The 22,109-nt window shown below is 38.7% G+C and overlaps 1 protein-coding gene across 11 annotated transcripts in view; it reads left to right on the top strand.

Moving 5' to 3' along the window:
- Nucleotides 1-22,109, top strand: part of SEMA5A (semaphorin 5A) — a 511,043-nt gene that overhangs the window by 436,840 nt on the left and 52,094 nt on the right. For all 11 annotated transcript variants that reach the window (XM_011514158.3, NM_003966.3, XM_011514157.3 and 8 more), the window contains one exon: nucleotides 949-1,096. In XM_011514158.3, coding sequence (XP_011512460.1) covers nucleotides 949-1,096 — 148 coding nt within the window. The remainder of the gene's footprint in view (nucleotides 1-948; nucleotides 1,097-22,109) is intronic.

Genomic DNA, 22,109 nt, shown 5'->3' with positions numbered 1-22,109 from the left:
ACCCCGTCTCTACTAAAAATACAAAAAATTAGCCGGGCGTAGTGGCGGGCGCCTGTAGTCCCAGCTACTTGGGAGGCTGAGGCAGGAGAATGGCGTGAACCCGGGAGGCGGAGCTTGCAGTGAGCCGAGATCACGCCACTGCACTCCAGCCTGGGCGACAGAGCGAGACTCCGTCTCAAAAAAAAAAAAAAAAAAAAAAAAAAAAAATTGAAGAGAAATAATATGACTCATGATAAGGATAAAGGAGGCTTTGGATATTTGGCTGACATTTGGAAAAATATGTAGAAGTATAGAAGTATATTCAAACACTGAAAAATAGAACTAATATTTGTAAAATTGTATAATCAATTCTTTTTGAATAACGAGTGGTCTTTTAAATTGTTTGGCATTCTTCTGAGAGCCTACAAATAAATTTAAAAGTAGAATAGCTTAAGCAGTATATAACTTGGGCCTTCATGCTAATCCCATGCTCTAACTTTTCTTTAACTTATCCTAATATAACTATGGGCTTATTTGATTCAAGAATGAGAAAGGAATTCCAAGTAAAGCTATGCTGACTTTGTATCTGTAATCTGCTTTATCTTTCAATGTTTATGTTCACAAGATAAATGCCCTACCTAGATATTTTCTGTATACTCTTATTTTTGGGTGTCTGTTTGAAGGGTTTTGTTTGTTTTTCCTTTAATTGGCTGCACAGGAAGATCCATCCTGCATTGTGAGTTTAGCATTTTCTTCATTGTCTGCCATGCATCCCATTGTCTGTGCACACACAGCATGGCCAGCACCACATCTGCCTTCTGTATGGTGCAACTGCTCAAAATACAAAAAGCTCCTCCACGCAGAGCATGCCCATGTGTTCAACATCTGGTGCAGGGATGGAGATGGAAACGTCAGTGGTTTCAAGTGGCACTAATTAGTTTCCTTGTCATTTTGGTTTCCTCATTACAGATACTGCAATGAACATTTGCTATGTCCCCCACACATGTTCTGGACAGGCTGGGGTCCTTGGGAACGGTGCACAGCCCAATGCGGGGGTGGCATTCAAGCTCGCCGCAGGATCTGTGAGAATGGGCCTGACTGTGCAGGCTGCAATGTGGTGAGTAGCCTTCTTCTCACACCCAGCCCACAATCCAGAACCAGGAATACAGACTCAATACACACAAAATTCTCTGCACACACTAGATGTTCTGCAAACAATAAATGTTCTGCACACACTAGAGGCTCTGCACAAATTTGGTACACTGCAAACACTAAATGGTCTCACACACTAGGTGCTCTGTACATTCTAGAAGCTCTGCAAACACCTTATGCTCTCCAGATACTAAATGCTCTATAAATATGACATGTCCAGACACTGGATGTTCCCCATACAATAGATGCTCTGGAGGTACCAGGTCCTCTCACACACTGGATCTTCTGCAAACATGAGATTCTTGGCAGACACTAGATGTTCTGCAACCACTGAGTGCTCTGTAAACACAACATGGTCAAGTACTCGATTCTCTACACACACTAGATGCTGCAAATCATGCAAGTTTTTCAATTTAATTAGAATATCTGGAGAAAATACTTGAAATTCAGAGTATCCTGGAGGCTTCGTGAATTAAGTATTCACATATGGGATAAACTGTCCCAGGAGTTTTTCTGTTCTGATTTCTGAGTCACAAAGCCTTCAGCCTGCTTATATATGGCTACTCTATTCGGTTTGGGACACGGAATAATATCCCCATATCAGGCCTACACCAAGGTATAGAACATTGTGGGATGAACCGGACACACCCTGGGGACTGAGAAACTATATGGAGCCATTGTTAGAGTAAGCTGGTGCCAATGCAGAGAGGATAAAAGAGAATGCATGTTTTTTTTTTTCTCCTGCCTTTACAGGTTATATTTCTTTTAACACTTTAAACTGTCAAATAAAATTCCTCTTGGACAAGCTCTTTTCAAAAGACTTGCTTTTGCTGTTCCTGCTTCTTCTGTAAGAGTAACAGCATTTCCCCTTACTCACCTGCCTCTGGTGCTGGCTGCACAGAGTGGACACAGACAGTGGCAAAGGTTTGATGGAGAAGCTCAGCACGAGAAGGTCTGGCTAAATTGCTTCCTCACTGATCTTTCCAGTTGGCCTTTGCAGCATCTTTATCCTTTGGTTTGTGAGGCTGAGCAATGCTTTTGTGCTGCTGTAAAGCCTGCTTTTGTGACATGCAAAAACCACACAGCCGAGATATCCTTGGGAAATTCTCAGAAAGGAAGAGGGATATGAGGTTCTTTGTCAGATATTACACCAGACCCAAGGAGATTTCTGTTATTGGAAATTACAATTAGATTTCTTCCCCTTCACAATGGAAAAGATACTGTCGTAGCTCTCATATAGTCTAGTACTGATTATAAAGACACTTCTTTCCAGATCAGCCTGAACTAACTGTAGACCATGAAAAATCTTCATTACGATGTATATTTATTGATATTTCAGATGCTGACATTTAAAACTATTTATTTTAAATAATTTTAAAATGACAAATTTATGAACACTCACATGTTCTAGGAAAACCATTCAAATGGGATAACTTTGTATTTTGCTGAAGAATGTCATGTTTTGTTCCTGGTGGCATGATGTGTGCCCCCTGAGGTCTGCATTGCCATGTCAAGGTTTGTCTCATTTGCTGGGAAACCACAGGAATGGATGATCTGGGTTGATCTCACACCCTAGTTTCTAAATACATTGCAGTGTGAAAAATTCAGAGAACAGTCCACATCATTAATTTTCTCATTGTTCATTGACTTTTATAATTACCTTCAAATATAGCTTAATGAATAAAAAAATTATATTAAGCAATAATGTAGCATTTTTATGTAGTTCCTATGTGTGTATGTGTGACATCCATCTGATGATAAATGTAAAAATTGAAGGTCTTTCTAAAATATCAATGTATTTATTGCTTTATTTATTATAGAATTACAGTTTATGAAACAAATGTAACCACTGCTTTCAAATCCAGAATAACACATATGTCTCCAAAGAGACTATTGTCACTTTTTGGGAAATTTAAAGGTTTGTTTTTCTTTTTGTTTGTACCACCAAACTTAGCCTTTTGGTAGTCTACTTCTAGGAAGGTGTTATTGCGGCAATGAGGAGCAATCCACTTCTCAGTGGTAGGAGTATATTTTTCTTCTGACGTGTCTTCTCCCATGCATTTTGGTTTCTGTCTGTCCTAAGGCAGGAATGCCAGCTCACACTAATTGAGGAATGCAAACAGTAGAAAGGAAGGGCTCGGTTTCTTTGGATTGTTTGGAAGATCTATACTATCAGTTGAATTCCTAAGAAGTTGATTTAAAAATGATAGTTACCTAGCTAAAGCAACATTTTTGGTCTTCATATTCTAGCTGCAGTTCGTAAATCTTTGTCCACAAAGGGTTCGGTTTTTATTGAGTTCTATTATCAAGATAGTAGCTGTAAGTATAAAAAAAGTATTGATTTTTGAGACATGAAGTGACCAGTGTGTGTGGCTGGATAACAAGAGGTGACATTTCTGAGTCTCAGTGTCATCCTTGGAGAAGGCGGTGATGGTTTTTCCTACTGAGAGCTCCTGTATCAAGGAGGGTGCCATCCGTAAGGTCTGGCAGGTCTCACGTTTGAGTGCTCCTTCCTAGTCTCATTTCTTTAATTGTTATCCATGGGCTTCAGCTGCTTCTCTGAGTTCCAGCTTATTAAAAATGGGAGTCAGCTAATGAAATGTCATTTATATAATACAGAATATGTTTGTGGAAAGTATAAAAACCTCAATTTCCTGATTATTATAGCAGTTTATGAAAAAGAAAGAATTGATTATTTCAAGTTCAAGTATGCATCGGTTAGAAAAGACTCAAGAATCTCTGCTTCTGCCAACACTTTAAAGCTGAAATTTCATGAAAGGATTTTCCCAGCTTCACTTGTGAAATTTCTACATCCTTGTCTTAGACTAAGTCACCAAGCCTTTATTTGAATCTCAATAAAGAGGCAGTGAAGGACCCTTGCCAAGAGCTATTAGTTCTCTCCATGAATCCCTACTCGTAAATTGCTCAATGTCAAAAGCTTGGGAAACCCAGAGCCTTGGATTAGTTCGGGGAGCTGATTGACAGACACAGAGGGAGGACCTGGATCTTGTGCTGTCACTTAACTCTGTGAACTTGAGATGCATTCACTGCCCTCTGGGCTTCTGTCTTGCTCTGCAAAGTGCAGGGCCAGACCCTGAAATTGATGATTCTGTGACCCTGGCATTCCTTCTCTGGACCCTGGGGCACATGTGTCCAGCTGATTGAGGGACCACTTCTAGCAAATGTCCCTCCCTGGTGGCTCATAGCTCCAGTGAGCTCAGAATGAGACACTTAAAACACAGATGTTTACTCCCCACTTCCAAGTAGGCTAAACCCACAGGAGCATCTGGGGTCCTCTGGTCCTTGGTGCTGCTCTCCAGGTCTGCATGTCAGCCCTGCATGCCTGTGGCTTCACAGAGCGGGTGGAAGGAGCAGGGTGGTGGGTCAGAGGGGCTCTGCCTCTGAGTCACTGTGAGATTTGACCTGCTGTTCTACTTCTCCACATGGTTGTTTTCAAATGAAATATGAAGCATGAACACTTGAATGACAGAGCTGTTTAGAGGATTACATATAGTACCTAATATTTCTATATATCCTAGCCCAGTGCCAAGTCTAACATAGACATTTATAAAATAGAAATGATTGTCACTGTCATATGTGTGTTTCCTTTTAACCCTATTTTGACAATAGTAACTGTAACAATTGTTGTTGGATGAAGACTTGCAAATCCCAACTTACTAGGTGATGTCAAATTAAATATTGAAATTAAGTTATAACTACACATACTGGAGTTAATATTTAATGATTGCCTGAAATCCTGTATTACATCATAAAATAACTTTTGTTGAGTGCCTACTACATGCCATGCACTGCACTAAGAGTAATTAAAATTTATTATGTTTATTCTCTCTGTATCCCTGCAAGGCAGTTTTCATTATTACCTCTGCTTGGAGATGGAAAAAAAATCAGCCTGAGAAAGATTAATGAACTTGCCCAGTAGCAAGTTGCCAGTGGGGGACTGGACCAGCATTTGAGAACTGGTCCTCTGGGCACAAATAGAATTTAATGACACAACTCCATTTGTATAATTTATTTGCCCAATGTTAAGTGATAAATGATAAGCCTTACTTTACTCCTATTTAGGTTGAAGTGTAGCTTAAAAGAAGGAGGAGCTTTTTGTCTTTCTATAGCTCTTCTCTTGATTTACACTCTTGATTTTTATAATATTGTGATCATTTCAGCCAACCATAAGAGTACTATTAGGAGATCATCATGAGCATAGGAATTAATCGAAGATAAACTCGTAACACAAATCTTAACTCTACATTTTGGCTGAAAATTACAACACATGAAAGGAAGAAAGATATAAAATGTTATGTTGTATACATAGAATTACTTCTTAAATTAATGCAACTCAAAATTTCCTCAAAGGTTTAGCAGATTTACCTTATTTTTTGCTGTATCAGAGCCAAAGACAGCGTCAGATACAGCAAAAATAATTTACAAAGAACAGCAGACTTAGTATTTGGCAGCACTATATTTCTTACTGAAATATCATGTAAAGCGTGAAACAATTGACCACAAGCTATGATTTAAGAGAGCAACAGGGAGCACAGGGGAGATATTTATTTCCTAGATACAAAAGAACCAGACCACAGAAAGCCTGGAAAGGTCAAGAAGAAAGACATTATAATCAATACATGCTGTCAAAAGGGATTCTGCGAGGGTCAGTCAGAGTTGATATAACACACTAACATTTGTTTGTGTCAAATAATGGCACAATGGATAATCTTCAGAGCAAATGAAACGTGGCCATTGGAAGTTTAAATAGGTTGTGACACATGAAAATAATGACAGGCATTACAAAATATCACATTTTTGTGTAGCACATTAGGGTCTGCAGAATGCTTTGGGGAAGGTCGTCTCGTGTTTTCCTGATTTTCCAAATGAGAAAATCGAGACCTGTAGAAAACCAGTTAGGTACCCAAAAACCCTGCAACTGGAGACAGCAAGACCCCCGGTCCAGGTCTTTCCACTCAGAGGTCCTGAGACAATCCAGGGTGCTGTGTCTCCCTCAGCAAGTATACGAACAAGAACAGTGAGATTAATGGGAAAGATCTAATATCTCATACCCATGAAAGTAGACCATTCAAAAGCCCCAAACAGGTATATTTTGTATTTGTTTAGCTCCAGTCGTATTTCTCAACAGTCTCAGCTGTGTTTGCCTCTGGCCAGTGATGTATGTGTAAGCCCAATTTTAAACAACCTCACTAATACAACAAAAACTATTTGAGGCTCACATTTTACTCAAGTTTTAAAAAGTAGGAGCTGCATATAGCCTCATCTGCCTAATATTACTGCTCTGATTCAGAATTAGAGTTCTGAATCCATGTTCAGGATTTTTCTACAAACCACTGCTTATTGTAAATATTTTCGTATAAATTTTAATAATTGTATTGTTCTTAATTTGGTGATATTTAAAGCATACTGTAGATGATTTTTGTAGTTTTATTTCAAGAAATGTTTTAATTTCAACTTCTGACAATGCTGTTTTAGTAAGTATAAATAATTTAATGATATAAATACTATATTTTTCAGGATACATTTCATAAAACATTTTCTGAGCATCCTTGTGAATGCTCTTGTAAGACTCTATATCCTTATAAGACTCTAATAGAATTTTGATTTCTGGGACAATTTTATCTGTAAGTTTCCTATTTGGCTGGTATCAGGTGAGCAGCATCTTCGTGTTCCATGGACAATGTATTCCTGTGGGTTTTAGAAATACTCATTTCCTGTCTTCCTAGACTTCAAAAAAGTATCTCTAGTTCCCCATTTAATTTTTAGTACTAAAATATTTTCAAGAGCATAGCAACCTCCTTGCAATGGTGTGTACTTTTATTCAAATGGGACAGCTGGCACTTCCTTTCATCATAAAATATAGAGGAGAGGTAGCCTGAGAGAGATTGACAGTTTTACAATTGAACAGTCTGTTTTAAAATTGGCTGCTTGCTTGTTTGTAATCGTTAGTTCCCTTTGTATTCATATTTGGTGTTTCCTCATTTTTGAACCGTGGCTTTCTAGAGATTCATAGTCCTGCCTTAGATGGCAGGTGGGTTGTTATGAAGAGATATATGAAAAGTTTTCTTCTTATTCACTTATTTTTGTTTATTTGGTTATGTTTGGGCAATGTCACCCCAATATATGCTAAGCTGTGGATACTTGAACATTGGCAGCTCACACTGAATTATTTGTGTTTGTTAAAGGGTTGTTATTTTACATTGGACGTAGACCCATTTCCAAGTTTATTTGCTGCCCTTAATAATACCCTTGAAACCTCACAGATGCAGACCCTATATGAATAGTAAGCTATTCATATAGGCTACTATTGAATAGGGTACTAATGCAGACCCTATATGAATAGTAGGCTATTTGTATGGCTTACTTATTGATGTGTCTGGAAGCTGTTCTTACTTTAACAAGCCGGTGGACCTGGATTAGATACAACTAAGTTTATCCATTGCTCATGAAAATACCATTTTATAATCCTAGAAAGGAAATTTTCTAAAATAAAGTTTAAGAAATACATAAAATAGTTGACTCTAACTCCACTGAAAACATACAGAATTTTTATAGATAAAAATAATATTCTTCATCACCATCATCATCATCTGTCATTATAATTGCTACATGCCAGGTATTGTTTAAAGTGCTTCTTAGGGAATGAGTGAGGAATTCCTCCCAATAATCCAATGAAGTAGTATTGTTGTTAGTGTAACCAACTTATAGATGTAGAAATTGGAGCAAAGAAGCGAGATGGTCCAGGTTGTAGGAAGGTTGCCAGCCTCAAAGCCAGACATTTATAATGGTGGCCTGCTTGTTTCCCCCACTACACTGTGTGGCCTCATCTAATATTTGATAAGTAATTGAAAAGGTTAAGGACTGTAGTTTTCATAAGATTAACTTAAACACCAATGAGCTTATAGAAGTTTGTTGTATCTAGCTAAATATGACCTATATGAGATTCGATAAAGTGAATGGTTCTAACTAAAAACCGAAAACAGTTAAGCACTTATTGAGATAATCCCTGGTGGCTTCAGACTGTGCATGTAACTGAGGGTCCAGAAGAATGCAAGAAACCTTGGGAAAGCCCCAGATATCTAGATGCATCTGAGAAGTGATGCCCATCTTTCTCCTTTTTTTTCACTTTCTCCTCCAAAGGCAATGCATACAGTTGTGCAGGTTGTGCACTGCAGAATTCCAAAGGGAGTATTAAACATTATGGAGATGTGAGTAGCACTTCTGAAAAAGGGCAGCACATCCTGGCTGCCACCCTAGCCCTGAACTGAGTGCATAAAAACTCAGTGTGTTCTTCAAAGCCTCCGAGACATGTAGGATCCCAACCATTATTTTGGACTATTTTCTTCATCATGGGAATAGGAGCTGAGAGTGAAAATTCTGGCATCATAGCTTGGCCCCTGTTTAAAGTAGATTTTGAGACAAGACAGGGGTTTAGGGCAGGTGGTTTTTTATATGTCGACAGCAGCAGGTGGAGAGGATGACAGGGTGAGGCAGGAAAGAGGGAAAAGCTCCTATTAGGGTTTGTCACCAAGGTCACTGCTAAGGGCAGCAGAACTGATTTTCTGAGAAGCCTGTAAATGCCTCTCGGGAGTGTGTCACCTTCCCAGCTACCATTGGTTGAGGATGCACCCAGGCTGCACTTTCACTAACCCAGCAGTCTCCTGGGGCTTCAGAGAAGACTCCCAACATGGAAAGCCACAGGAAGGGAAGTGTGTGCCCCAGGTGGATGTGTCTGGCAAAGAACTGACCACCATTTTGCCCGCAGCTGGGACCACAGGAGGCTGAGGGGCTGTGCGGCCCCAAAAGCACATCTACACCTGGCTTTGTGAAAACAAATCCTGACCATAGTAGAATGGACCAATAAGAACAGGATTTCTGAGGCTGCAGTCCAATAATTGGGGTTAAACACAATCTGGAGCCCTCCTGCCTTACAGGTCCCATGGACTGGTGAGAACTTCCCAGTCATCGCATAGCCATGGATACCCATTATTAGGCCAGATGGCACTCCACTTTCTGCCAGGCATATTTATTTAGCACACGGCTTCTCCATTGTGTGGACCAATTCTTGCCTGGGACACATGAAAGAAAAGTCATTTTTCTGGAAAGGTTCTCTCTTCTCCATAGAGAGAGATACAGGACAGGAAGGCCCTTTCTTTCTCTGCACACAGAGTGTCGAGAGTGAAGCTGGAGCTGCTGCCCACTAGCTGGCAGCCTTGAGAGTAGCTAGGTCAGGGAGGAGGAGGACAGGAGCAAAGCAGGGAGACAGAGCTAAGGACACCAAGGGGCTCATCTCCCCAAAATCCACCTTGTTGGGCACAGCCTGATGTGTGAAATCAAAAGCTCTGGTGGCTTCAGCTAGTCTGAGTCAAAATCATTCTAACTGCTTTGTATTTCCCCTCCCCTTTGTGGAAGCTACCCTTCAAATACCGTTCAGTAGCTGATGGGGAAAGACATGTCCCTCCTTAATAATTGCTGTATCTGATGGAGATGATCTAGGATTTTCAAGTGACCCATTTCCATGAAAGCTAAAGACATGACCTTGACCTTTATGAAGAAGGTTGCAACCTGAACTCTTCCATTGCATTGTGGTTGTAAAATCCATTCACTTATATTTCCCAATATTCTTCCGTAAAGGGAATAATTGATCTCCCTTGCTGAAACTGGATATTATATCTTCACAAACACTGGAATGCAAAGTTTGTTTTCTTTTTTTTAATAAAATATCTCAGTGAAGAGCTTGCAAATATGAAAGATTGTCAAAGTGAAAATGCCACATGTTGTTAAAGGATGCTTAAGCTTTTTGAGAAAGTTAATATCAGTACACAAAATTGAGTGGTACAGCAGATGGCCACAAAAGTATAAGTTTTCTAAAATTTGGCACTGAAAGTTTCGCAATCAAGCTTAAGAATGATGTATGGCACAGATGGAGAGAAAAGAAAAATGATGGATTATAGGAATTAATCCATCAAGAGTCTGCCTCTAGGACATATAAATAATCATCTACAATCTCTGGAAATTGCAATTGGTATGGAGATCTGGAATATTTCACAAAAATGTTTTATTTATAATGTTGGAAGACTCTGTTGTACATTTCTATAGTTTTTAAAAATTTTTTATGCCTACAATAATTCAAATACAGTGATTGCAAAGTTAATTGAAAGAAGTTTTCATGAAGAGATTTCCTACTGTAAAAGTGACTTAAATTGTACACACACACACATTTTTCCTTTATAACTTTCCAATAAATTCCATGATAAAGATTATTCAATACTTGATATTAAAATACCTAGAACTTATATGTGGAGACACAATAATAGTATTTCAATTGTAATAATTTCTACTAAATGGCCACAATTTAAAAAATATTTTATAGGCCTACACGAGTAGGCAGTACATGCAGAACAAACAGATTCTGTTAAAGGCATAGCAAATGCTCAGTCAGATGGAACCCATGTCTCTGGTTTTTTAAATGTCAGATTTTTTAACTGTTAAAAATGAGTAATTAAGAGTGACTCTCTAGATTTAAAGTCTTAATAGAAGTTTATTTAAAAACAATCAGACAATATTCTTTTCCAAATGCATCTTCCGTCATTGATTGTAGTGCTGCTGACGGATTTGAGCTAATCAATTGATTATCCATAAAGAACACTCACTGGGCTTTTTAGTCAATTAAATGTTCCCTTCAAATTGGACACATGTTTTTGGTCAATTTCTGTAGCTCACCTTGTCTACTTCTGATTCTACCGAGCACTTGCTACTGAAATTAAAAGACAGTAGTCTCCTGGAGTAGTGTTGCTTGTTCATTTTATTTATTTATTTATTTATTTATTTATTTATTTATTTATTGAGACAGAGTCTCACTCTGTTGCCTGGAGTGCAGTGGCATGATCTCAGTTCACTGCAACCTCTGCCTCCCATGTTCAAGTGATTCTTCTGCCTCAGCCTCCCGAGTAACTGGATTACAGGCACTTGATACCACAGTCAGCTAATTTTTATGTTTTTAGTAGAGACGGGGTTTCACCATGTTGGCCAGGCTGGTCTTAAACTCCCGACCTCAAGTGACCCACCTGTTTCAGCCTCCCAAAGTGCTGGGATTATAGCCATGAGCCACCACACTCAGCCCTTATTTTTTAAAAAGAGATTTGGCTATCCAGCCAACTTAAGTGATGTACTGATGTTGTCCCTCTTACCAACAGCCAAGTACTCCCTTTTTGTGTTGTGCAACTTGTAGCATCAAGGCTGGGCTCTTGTATTCATTTGCATCTTTGTATAGCTCATTCTACCTTTTAAAGTCCTATTTCAGTCCATCACCTTGTTGTACAGGCTGGGCCATGGTTCCAGGAGACATTCCATGCCATATGGCACTTGGGCCATGACTGAGTGAGAGTAACACTCTCCCCACCCCAGGATCCCAATCTGAAACCTGTGGGTCTAATTGATATTAGCTCTGCTCATTCAATGTACAGAAAAGGTGGAGATCACCTGAGACATTACCCATTGTAGGTTCCATATTGCAGAGGCCAGCATATTGCCTCTCAGCAGACTCATTTCCAATACCTTTCTAAAATGAAGTAAGTAGAGAATTGAACAAAAAGCTTCAGAGACATACATCTGCTCAAAAGATATTGTCATCTCCTTAATTGACTATGCTGCTTATGGCGTGGTCTTCATTTGGTTTGTTCAGGTTCAAATCCCTGCATACATCATAGTATTAAGAGAGGTTTACCTGAGCTCACACTCTGTACCTAGAATCTGAGCATTTTGGTTTTTTACCCATTTTTATTCCACCATTTATTTAATAAAGAATAAGCTTCTACCCTGTGATGGACTCTGGGGATACCAGTGTAAATAAGGGAAGTGTGGTCTCTACTTAAACCTGGGGCAGTATTACTACTTGTGAGGCTTAAATCAAAATGCTCTGGGTACCTGTCTTTTATTTACATTGTTTTGGTGTGTTGATGCTACTGTTCACAGTATGCTTTTTCCCCCCTCTTTTTAAAGTAAATTTTATCGTGTATATTTAAGATATACAGCATGATGGTAAAAGGTACATATAGTCATATGATTACTATAGTGGAACAAATTAATATATCCACCTTCTCTCATAGTTACTCGTTTTTCCTCTCTATGATGAAAAGTCTACTGTTTTTTCATCATAGAGAGTACCTGTCCTAACAGGCGTAAGGTGACATCTCATAGTGGTTTTGATTTGTGTTTTCCTGATGACCAGTGATGTTGAGCAGCTTTTCATGTACCTTTTGGCTATTTTTATGTCTTTGGAGAAATTTCTTTTCAAGTCCCTTGACATTTCTTAATTGGGTCATATATATTTTTTTTATCATGTTGTATGAGTTCTTTATATACCTTGGATATTAATCCCTTATCTGATGTATACTTTGCAAATATTTTTCCCAACATGTAGGTTGCCATTTCATTTGGAAACAGCTTAAGTGTCCATCAATAGATGAATGGATAAAGAAGCTGTGGGACACACACACACACACACACACACACACACACACACACACAGTGGAATATTATACAGCCTTAAAAATGAGATCCTGTGATTTGTCACAGCATGGATGGATGTGGCACACATTATGCTAAATAAAATAAACCAAACAAAGAAAGAGAAATAGTGCATTATCTCACTTAGATGTGAAATATAAAAAACAAAAGGTCTCATATATGGAGAGAGAAAATAAAACAGTGGTTGTTAGGTTGGCAGGAGAGTGCAGGGGGAATGAGGAGATATAGGTCAAATAACACAAAGTAGCAAATATGTAGAATGAACACCTTGAAAGACCTAACGTATAACATTAGGACTATAGTTAATGATGGTGTGTTGTATTCAGAAATTTGCTACATGAGTACACCTGTTAGGACAGGTACTATAAAAAAGACAGGAGATAACAAGTGCTGGTGAGGGTGTAAAGAATGTAGATTGTACTCTGTTGGTGGAGATGTAGGCCGGTACAGCCAGTATGGAAAACAGTGTGGAGATTCCTTAGAAAATTAAAAATAGAATTACCATAGGACCCTACTAGCCGTCTTCTGGGCATATACCCAAAGGAAATTAAATCACTACCTCGTAAAGCACCTGCTTTCCCATGTTCACTGTAGCATTATTTGCAATACGCAATATAATCTTAATACCAATGTTCAATGAACAAGAATGAGGCATGCTATAGGAACAGTTCACATGTTTATACAAATGCAGCCAGAGACTTTCAAAATATGTTTTGATTGCATTATACTCGTTTGGTTTGCCTCATGGCAAACCATGCTTCCTTTGGTAGAAGTGACAGAAATGCTTAATTATATCAACAATATGTTTTAATTTGTGTTTTGCTTAAGATTTGCAGTTTCCATTTTTAAATTATTTCATCGGAGTGCCTCCAATGGTATTACTGAGCATGTGTCATTTCAGTTGTTAAAACAACTTGCACACATAATAATTTTTGAGGCAACTTGTAATTAAAGAAGAAACAACAGGTGTTGGAGTGTGAAAAATTATTTCAAAACATTGACTATTTTTTATAGATTCCATTGTTTCTTTCTTCCCAAACACTATCCCTTTAGTAATCCTAAAAGTTTTTAAGAACTGGAGCCTAGTTCAGATCTCTTCTACGTGAATGTGAGAAAGGGCACAACAGCGGCTACTATATTTTTATTTTTAATTTTTTTATGATACTTTAAGTTCTGGGGTACATGTGCTGAATGTGCAGGTTTGTTACATAGGTATACACGTGCCATGGTGGTTTGCTGCACCCATCAACCCATCATCTACATTAGGTGTTCCTCCTAATGCTATCCCTTCCCAGCCCCAGACCCCCACCGACAGGCCTCAGTGTGTGATGTTCCCCTCCCCATGTCCATGTGTTCTCACTGTTCAACTCTCACTTATGAGTGAGAACATGTAGTGTTTGGTTTTCTGTTTTTGTGTTAGTTTGTTAATATTTCTAAAGAGGAATACAAGGTTATATTTAGAAGCCTTCAAAATATGTCAATATAAGTAAATAAATAGCTGGTTTTCTCTGTGGCCTGATAGTGTGCCACAGTAACTGTCATTTCTGAACACTTGTCCCTTCATTTCCCTCCATGGCATATTTTTTTTTCAAGATCTATTTGACTTGCAGAATCTCGTGAGGTTCTACTGTGGAAGGAAGAGTTGCAAAGAACACTCTTCACATTCCATGTCACATTCCTACAGTATTTTATAAGCCGTGCTGCATGAGAAAGTAACATCCCACACACTATTATTTGGCATCTTGCTTCTATCATGATGTAAAGTGTTTTCCACATCTGTTTCAGTCTATCCTAATCCCACGAAATTGCCCTATTTGAGATTATTAGAAAGCAATCCTCGAAGGACCTCTAATGTCATTGTGTGAGAAAAATGACAGTGACTGAAAGAAGGACTGTGAAATCTGTCTTATAAAATTATTCGGGCTCCGCACATAAAGTCAGAAGCTCTGGAACAATAAGCCTCTCAAACTCAAAAGAGAGAGATACAAAATGGCAGAGGCAGACAGATGGAATCCAGACATTTAGAGGAGCCTCTGACATTTGCTGGGCAGTTTTCATTATGAAGCTCATTTAATTGGTTTATTTCTCTTATCTTCTTGCAACTGCTAATAGCTTTCAGTAATAAGGCCTTGACGTCTGAAACTGAAGAGGAAGAAAGAAACTCTGCCTGTTACATGCATCATCTTTGATCATTAATTTCTCTAATGCTTGGTGTGATCTCACATGATACTGTTCATTTGAAATAATTTTGCATGTGGAAGAAAAGAAAATTCTCAATGACTTCAATGACTGATTCATGTCTGTGGTACTATACTTTGCAGAATTTTCAGATCTTTCATCTATGTATTTAGTCAATGAAAACATGTTGACTACATACTGTGTGTAAAGAATTGGTGCAAGGGAACCCATGTAGATGGATACAGTAAACTTTCTCAAGGAGCCTCCTTTCTGGCTTAGGAGAAAAAAACATAATTCAAATTGCTAAATAATAACGAAGTAATAAATGCCATCAGAGCAATTATGAGAGAACACTGAGTGGAACATGAGGAGGAGGAAGTGAGGGTCAAGGGCACCAACAGGTGTGGAGGGTCAAGGGCACCAACAGGTGTGGGCAGGACTCGGCCAAGTTAAGAGGAGGAGCTTCCCTGAAAGTCTCTGTGTGCAGGCTGTGAACCCAAGGACATGGGATTCACACCTAACACTGGAAGCACAGTCACTTGTGGGCTACAGGATGTGTACAGGGATGCGGCAAGGGACAGATCTGGAAAGTGAGTAGTCATCATTCCTGAAAGGGCTTGAGTACCAGGCATGGGGGTGCACAGTCATTCGGTTTTTTTTTGTTTTGTTTTTTTGTTTTTTTTTGAGACAGAGTCTCACTCTGTCACCCAGGCTGAATCTCAGTTCACTGCAAGCTCCGCCTCACGAGCTCAACCGATTCTCCTGCCTCAGCCTCCCGAGTAGATGGGACTACAGGCGTGCGCCACCAGGCCCAGCTAACTTTTATATTTTTAGTAGAGACGGGGTTTCACCATATTCGTCAGGCTGGTCTTGAACTCCTGACCTCGTGAGCCACCTGCCTCAGCCTCCCAAAGTGCTGGGATTATAGGCATGAGCTACCACGCCCGGCCATTCAGTTCTTTTAGCTTGCTGTCACAGTTGCATAATTAGACCTGTACCAACTTTCTTGGGTTAAAATTTACACAGTAGAACTCTGTTAATAATTCAAAAAATATGTTACATCATGTTTTAAATTATTTTTTCTTACAGGGAAGAAAGCATGTTGATCTTACTATCTAAAAGAGGGAAGCTATCTGATTGTATATACATACATAATGTTATGGTTTCAGATATATGTATGTAGCCATATTCTCCTTTCCCACAATCATTCTTCAACTTTAGTTACAACTTCCTTCCTTATCACAATTTATTTACCTTAGTAAGTACTCCTAATCTTAAAAAACTCAATTTTAAGTTTAATGTTTCTTCAAAATAAGTTATATAAACTTGGATTTAGTTCAATTTCAGAGAAGAAATTTCCACTACACTATTAGATGAACTAATTTGTTTCAAAGCTTACTAATACTAAAAAATGACATTTTATGATTTTACAATCAGGGACAATATTTTTTTCACTATTGTTTTCTCAACACCTTGCAGAGTGTAGGGTAGTGAATAAATGAACCTAGTTATTTAATGTATGTGTGATTTTTTAAAAAGGTAATGGCAATTTGGGAAAAGAGTGTCACCACCTTTCCAAATGAAGTGATTATTCTTGTGTATTATATTGTTCTTATCTACTCTTGGGTTCATTCTTACTATCTCTTACAATGCAACACATTTTGTGTTCTCATTCAAAGAGATTCTTCACACTAAAATGGAGCTACTCTTAGTCCACATTTAACTTTTCTTTCCATGATATTTGCTTATGAACATCTCATTTCCTGTTCATATTCTTAAATTATTTCAAATTCTTTCTAATTAGCTTTGCAGGGCTGCTCCAAATGGTAAAATGTTAGCACTGAAACTCCGTGTTCCTGCAGTAATAGTGTACAGTCATTAAAATTGGTTTTGATATTAGGTAATACTTGGCAGGGATCTTCCAGGACCTTATCAGGTCCCCACAGGCAAGAATTGATTGAGCACATGCAACTATTATAGAGAGCCTCATTAGAAAAGAAATCTGAATCTCATACTTTAAAATGGTGCGAATTCCAATATTTGAGCTTCCTCCTGTAAATAAAATTGTAAACATAATGGCCTTGAGCCCTTTTGGGGCCATCACCCTGTGCATTCGACAAATACAGTCTTATTTCCCATGCTGCACCTCATGCACATCAACCCCAGTCTAGTCATCTAGTGCAGCTTAGTTGTCTCACAATAAGCCTGGAACAACCATGAGTATGAGGCATCGCTCAGGATGCAGCTGGGTGGAATATGAATCTGGTTGACTTGCTGAGCTTGACCTTAAGGAGCTCTCACTCTGGAATCAGAAAGATCCCAAGACCGAATAATACAGATGCCTGATAGAAAGTATCATAGTTGAAAGCAAGCCACAGGTGTTCAAAGAATGGAAGGATTCAAGCTCATAACTTTAAGCTCCTTGTACATGAGCCAGGCTTCTCTGAAAAAGTCTCATGCCATCATTTGGGTTTTCTTGGGTGGTTACTGAGACTTCAGGAGGTCAGTGCTCAACAGGACTGTCATACAAATGGTGATGCCAAGATGTTTGTTTCAATAAGAGGGGTTGTCATTGGAATTGGCTGAGGCTCTGTTGTTTTCCTAGAATTGTGGTAGTGGCTTGCTTATGGTCCTGAGGGTGCCGCATTATGTCCACTGAGGAGCCCTCATGGTTTATGTGACAGAATACAGGTTGGCCTGTGGGTCTTCAGTAGGGTTGTTGTGTTTTGAACTGCAAATCTCATGAAAACAAATGGGTCTTTTAGCCTGTGTCTTAAACTTGAAATAGAAATAATTCCGACCCATTGTGATTTATGCTGAATTTTGTAAACCACAAATCTAGTGCTTGTAAGGAGATGTACTTCCATGTGTGTGCCTTCCTGAAGAGATTTGGCAGGCTTCTCCTCGGGTGCACATATCTTACACAAACTTCTCAGGACCTACACTGCTCTATCCTTGTCTGGATTGTCATCCTCAGCTCTACAGAGCCCTGTTTTTCTCAGATGTACCCCATGGGTACATCTACAGTATAACAAGATAAATCTGGACAAGGGAAACACCATTTCATTCTGATACAAATCGTTGATTTTTAAAATTCTGACAGTTGGCTTCTATCTTTTACTTCATGTTTTGTGGGGAAAGAAAAGTAATCAATGGACATTGTAAGTTTTTCTAAGTAGACTTGGTTCCTTTTCCCACAACAGAATTTGAAACTTCCATTTGTTGCTTTAGCACTGCTGTTTGTGTAGCAGAGGCCTCTGAGTAGGGGTGACTGTGAGTTTACTGTGAGCTTCTCAGCTTGTGCTTCCTTGGTTTGAGAGGAATCTGAATTAACTCCCAGCCTAAGCACTGAAGGTAAAAATGATAAGCTTTCTACATAACTACTTACAACAGGCCTCCTATTACCAAAGGAGGTTTTACAAGCCTGGCACTTTGCAGACATTTCATTTATATCTCAGTGGAGGACAGATATTTGCTTGGCACAGCTTTACATTATAAATCATGCTCTCGTAACTATCTTAGGGTAAAGTCACTGGTGAACACAAAGTGAGAGGAAGTTGGTGATGCCGGGGCTTTCCTGTGCCCTTCTGTATGAGGGACGAATGGAGACTCTTGGAAAATCGCTTGAGATTCCAAACTCCCCGGTTGCAGGTGCCCTGTCTCTTTGGTTCATCATTGCATCCTCAGGACATTCTCAGTGCCTGGCATAAAGTAGCTGCTCCATGAGTAGTTTCTTAGGCATTGTGTGAAACACATTGGCAGCATTCAGATTAGTGGAGAACTGTCTGTTTCAGGTTTGAGGCCAGCTGCACAGATCAAACAGTTGCACCAGAAGTCCCCCAACCGTCATCATATTTGTAAGGAGACATGCAGAGAAGAGTTCTTTCAACATTTTAAGTTGTATTATCTTTCTCTTCTTTACTTAAACTTTCACGGCATTTTTCAGGGCCACCTTTAGGAGTAGGCAAAGGCATTAGAAGTTAAAGAGCTATCAGCAGATGGAAATGGAAGTTCGTTTTAAAGCGAGGACTTTTGTAGCAGGTTCACCCAAGCTAATATGTCCAGTGCTTGGTTACTGGGTAAATGGAGTTGGGCCTGAGAATTAGAAATAAATGGCATCCAGAGGCATTGCTATCCTGAAAGTGCCTTTGTGTGAAGTAGAACAGGTTTACCCTGCTGAAGGTCCCTTCACCTGGGCACAGAGAGCCCTATTTCAAGACTCAGGGTTTAAGAGGTGATTCTGTCTGAATTTCCACGCTCTCACACAGCTCCTTTTGTGCAGTGTACAGACTGTACAATCTTGTACAGAGTAAATTCATCAGGATTTAAATATAAATTACACATGTATACACACATATTTACATTTCACTTATATTTATATAGTCATATTCACAATATGATATTTATAATGACCAAGTGGAGAATCTTGTAAATAATACATTTTATGTTAACAAGATTAAGAGAGAAAGAATGTTACAATCATTTCAATAGATGTAGAATAAACATTTGATAAGTTTAACACTCATCCTAATATGAATTGTGAGTGAATAATTCATAGAGTGAATGGGAGCTTCTTTCACCTTATGAAGGATACCTATTAAAATCTTACCACAAACATTATCATACTTAGTGATGAAAGGTTAGAAGCCTTTCTGTTAAAGTCAAGAAAAAGCCTAGGATTCCTGCCAGGGCTGCTAGCGTTCAATACCATATTGTACTGGAGATCACAGCCAATTCAATGCAACAAGGTAAAGAAATAAGGGTGGTAAGGTCAAGAGTGGGGATAATTTATCCCAAAGATTCCTTCCAGCCCTCTTGCCTGCATCTCAAAGGTCAGAGGTTATTGGTTAATGACTGGTCATCAAATGTACTGCGATATTCACCCATTGCAGTCTTTGGTGAAAGGTGCCATGCTGAGCCTTTATGGGGGGAGTTGGTGGGGGGCTCACAACTGGATGCACTCCTGGCCTCTGACCCATTTGAACTCTAGCAGATTGATCTTTACCTCTTTTTATCTTTTAAAAGTTGTTTATTGAGTAAAGAGTTATTCAGTATTTTTAAAGATTTTGAACACCATTGAACAAAAGTTATGAAACATTATCCAAGGGATGGCCGCTTGTTTTCTGGTGCATGGATCGCATTAGCGCCATGTCTTACAGAAGAAGTGCTGTGAGGTTTGATCCTTGCCAAGTGCCTGCTGTGTGATAAATAGCAAGTGTCCAGTGCTTGGCCAAAAATAAAGGAATGAGAAATAGATAAGTACAGTCTTCTCAAGTCTCACAGTCTGTTAGGGAGACCCCTGCACAGACAGGTCACTGGATATTGCATCCAATGGTAGCACAAAGAAGGAGTAGTGTTTTCAGGTAAATTTAGGAGAACAGAATCTTACGTGAATGACAGCAGCTCTGGCAAAAGCATGGAGGCCTGAACCCACAGCATTTGTGAGCTATCAGACTGTGCCATGTGGCTAGTATACAGGCCACGGGAGTGGGAGGGGTTAACACAGTGCAATGGATGAGACTTTTCCAAATATCAGAGAAGCTAAGCACTTTGACTTTTATTCTGCTGGTAACAAGAAACTGCAGAAATACAATTAATACTAATTAGCCCAGTGCCTTTGAAACTGGCACCATGACCTGTTCAAAATCTCTTATATGAGAGTGTCCACACTCCTATTTGGATTATAATTTTGTGGAATTCCATGAGTGTGTGTGTGTATATATATATATATATATATATTATAAATGTAGGCTTCCTGCTGCTGCTGTCATTTTTGTCTGCCTGTGTAAATTCTTGTTTGAACAACCATGCATCTCATTCCCGACATTTTGTAATGTACTATCTGAATATGATTAGAAAACTTCAGGGTGTAATAAAGCTGAGTAACCTCTAATATTGAGGAACATTCTAAAAGAAAACTAACTTTTTTTTCTGTCACAGTATAAGAGAAAACTTAGATTTCTATATTCACCCCAACATAACACTTACCCTTATTCTATATACTTATATTTATAGGAAAATTAAGAAATTAAAAAAATACTTTCTTTCTTTTCTTTTCTTTTTTTTTTTTTTTTGAGATGGAGTCTCACTCTGTTGCCAGGCTGGAGTGCAGTGGTATGATCTCAGCTCACTGCAACCTCTGCCTCCTGGGTTCAAGGGATTCTCCTGCCTCAGCCTCCCAAGCTGGGACTACAGGCACATGCCACCATGCCCAGCTAATTTTTGCATTTTTAGTGCAGACGGGGTTTCACCATGTTGGGCAGAATGGTCTTGATCTTTTGACCTCGTGATCTGCCTGCCTTGGCCTCCCCTTTGAGAGGCCACTTTTGCACTTTTGCTGGGATTATAGGCGTGAGCCACCACGCCCGGCCACTGTCTTCATATTTTGAAAGAGCAGGTGTTTTTATGAAACACCTTATTGAATTATTTGTCTAAGTGAATAGAAATTGAAGCAAAAAGCAGTCAATACACTTGCTTAAATTTTGCAATGTTTCCTAGGAGAGAAAAATAAATAAAAACATTTATCCATGGTACAGAATTCTGTGTATAACAACTGGAGCATTTTCTATAGGCCTGAAAGAGGGCTTTGAATAAGAAACATCCCACCTTATTAGGCAACTTCTAGAACAGATTTGTAACTGCATTTGTTGGTTTAGATAACCTTATATATGAACTGGCATATAAGTGACCTCCATTATAAGTTATGATATTATAATATATGAAAGTGTGTGTGTGTGTTTATAGTGATAAGGAGAATGATTTTTACAGCCAGAAACTAAAGAATGTATGTACAGCATGCATTAGGAAAAATAAATATAAATATAAAATAAATAAATATAATAAAAATAAACATCTGTGGCTAAAAATACAAATTTAAAAGAAGTTTGCCCATTTAATTATTTAATCACCATTTTATATTTTAGAAACACACAGCAGAATGATTTTCAAATCATATTTAAGCAGATGAAGACCCAGTCTTTAAACACTGATTTGGATAATTATTTATTTTATAGGAAACTTCAAGATAAATGAACTGTTTTATATCATTGCCATATGTTAAGTATTTTAAAGTCTAGAAATGTTTAAGTTCAACTTATACATTTGATTTAAACATCCTGACTATTTTAATTGCAATGTAGTGCTCAGTTATGTGAAAACAGCCATGTCGGTAATGGCAGCCAGGATTGGGGTCCGATTTAGGGAGCAGGTGAGCAACAGGGATATTGCTGACCCATACCTGGTAGCAAGGA

Source organism: Homo sapiens, chromosome 5 (genome assembly GCF_000001405.40).
Source record: "Homo sapiens chromosome 5, GRCh38.p14 Primary Assembly".
In the NCBI taxonomy this organism is placed as follows: Eukaryota; Metazoa; Chordata; class Mammalia; order Primates; family Hominidae; genus Homo; species Homo sapiens.
The sequence above is the reverse complement of the archived record's forward strand: the minus strand, read 5'-3'. Positions and strand labels throughout refer to the sequence as shown.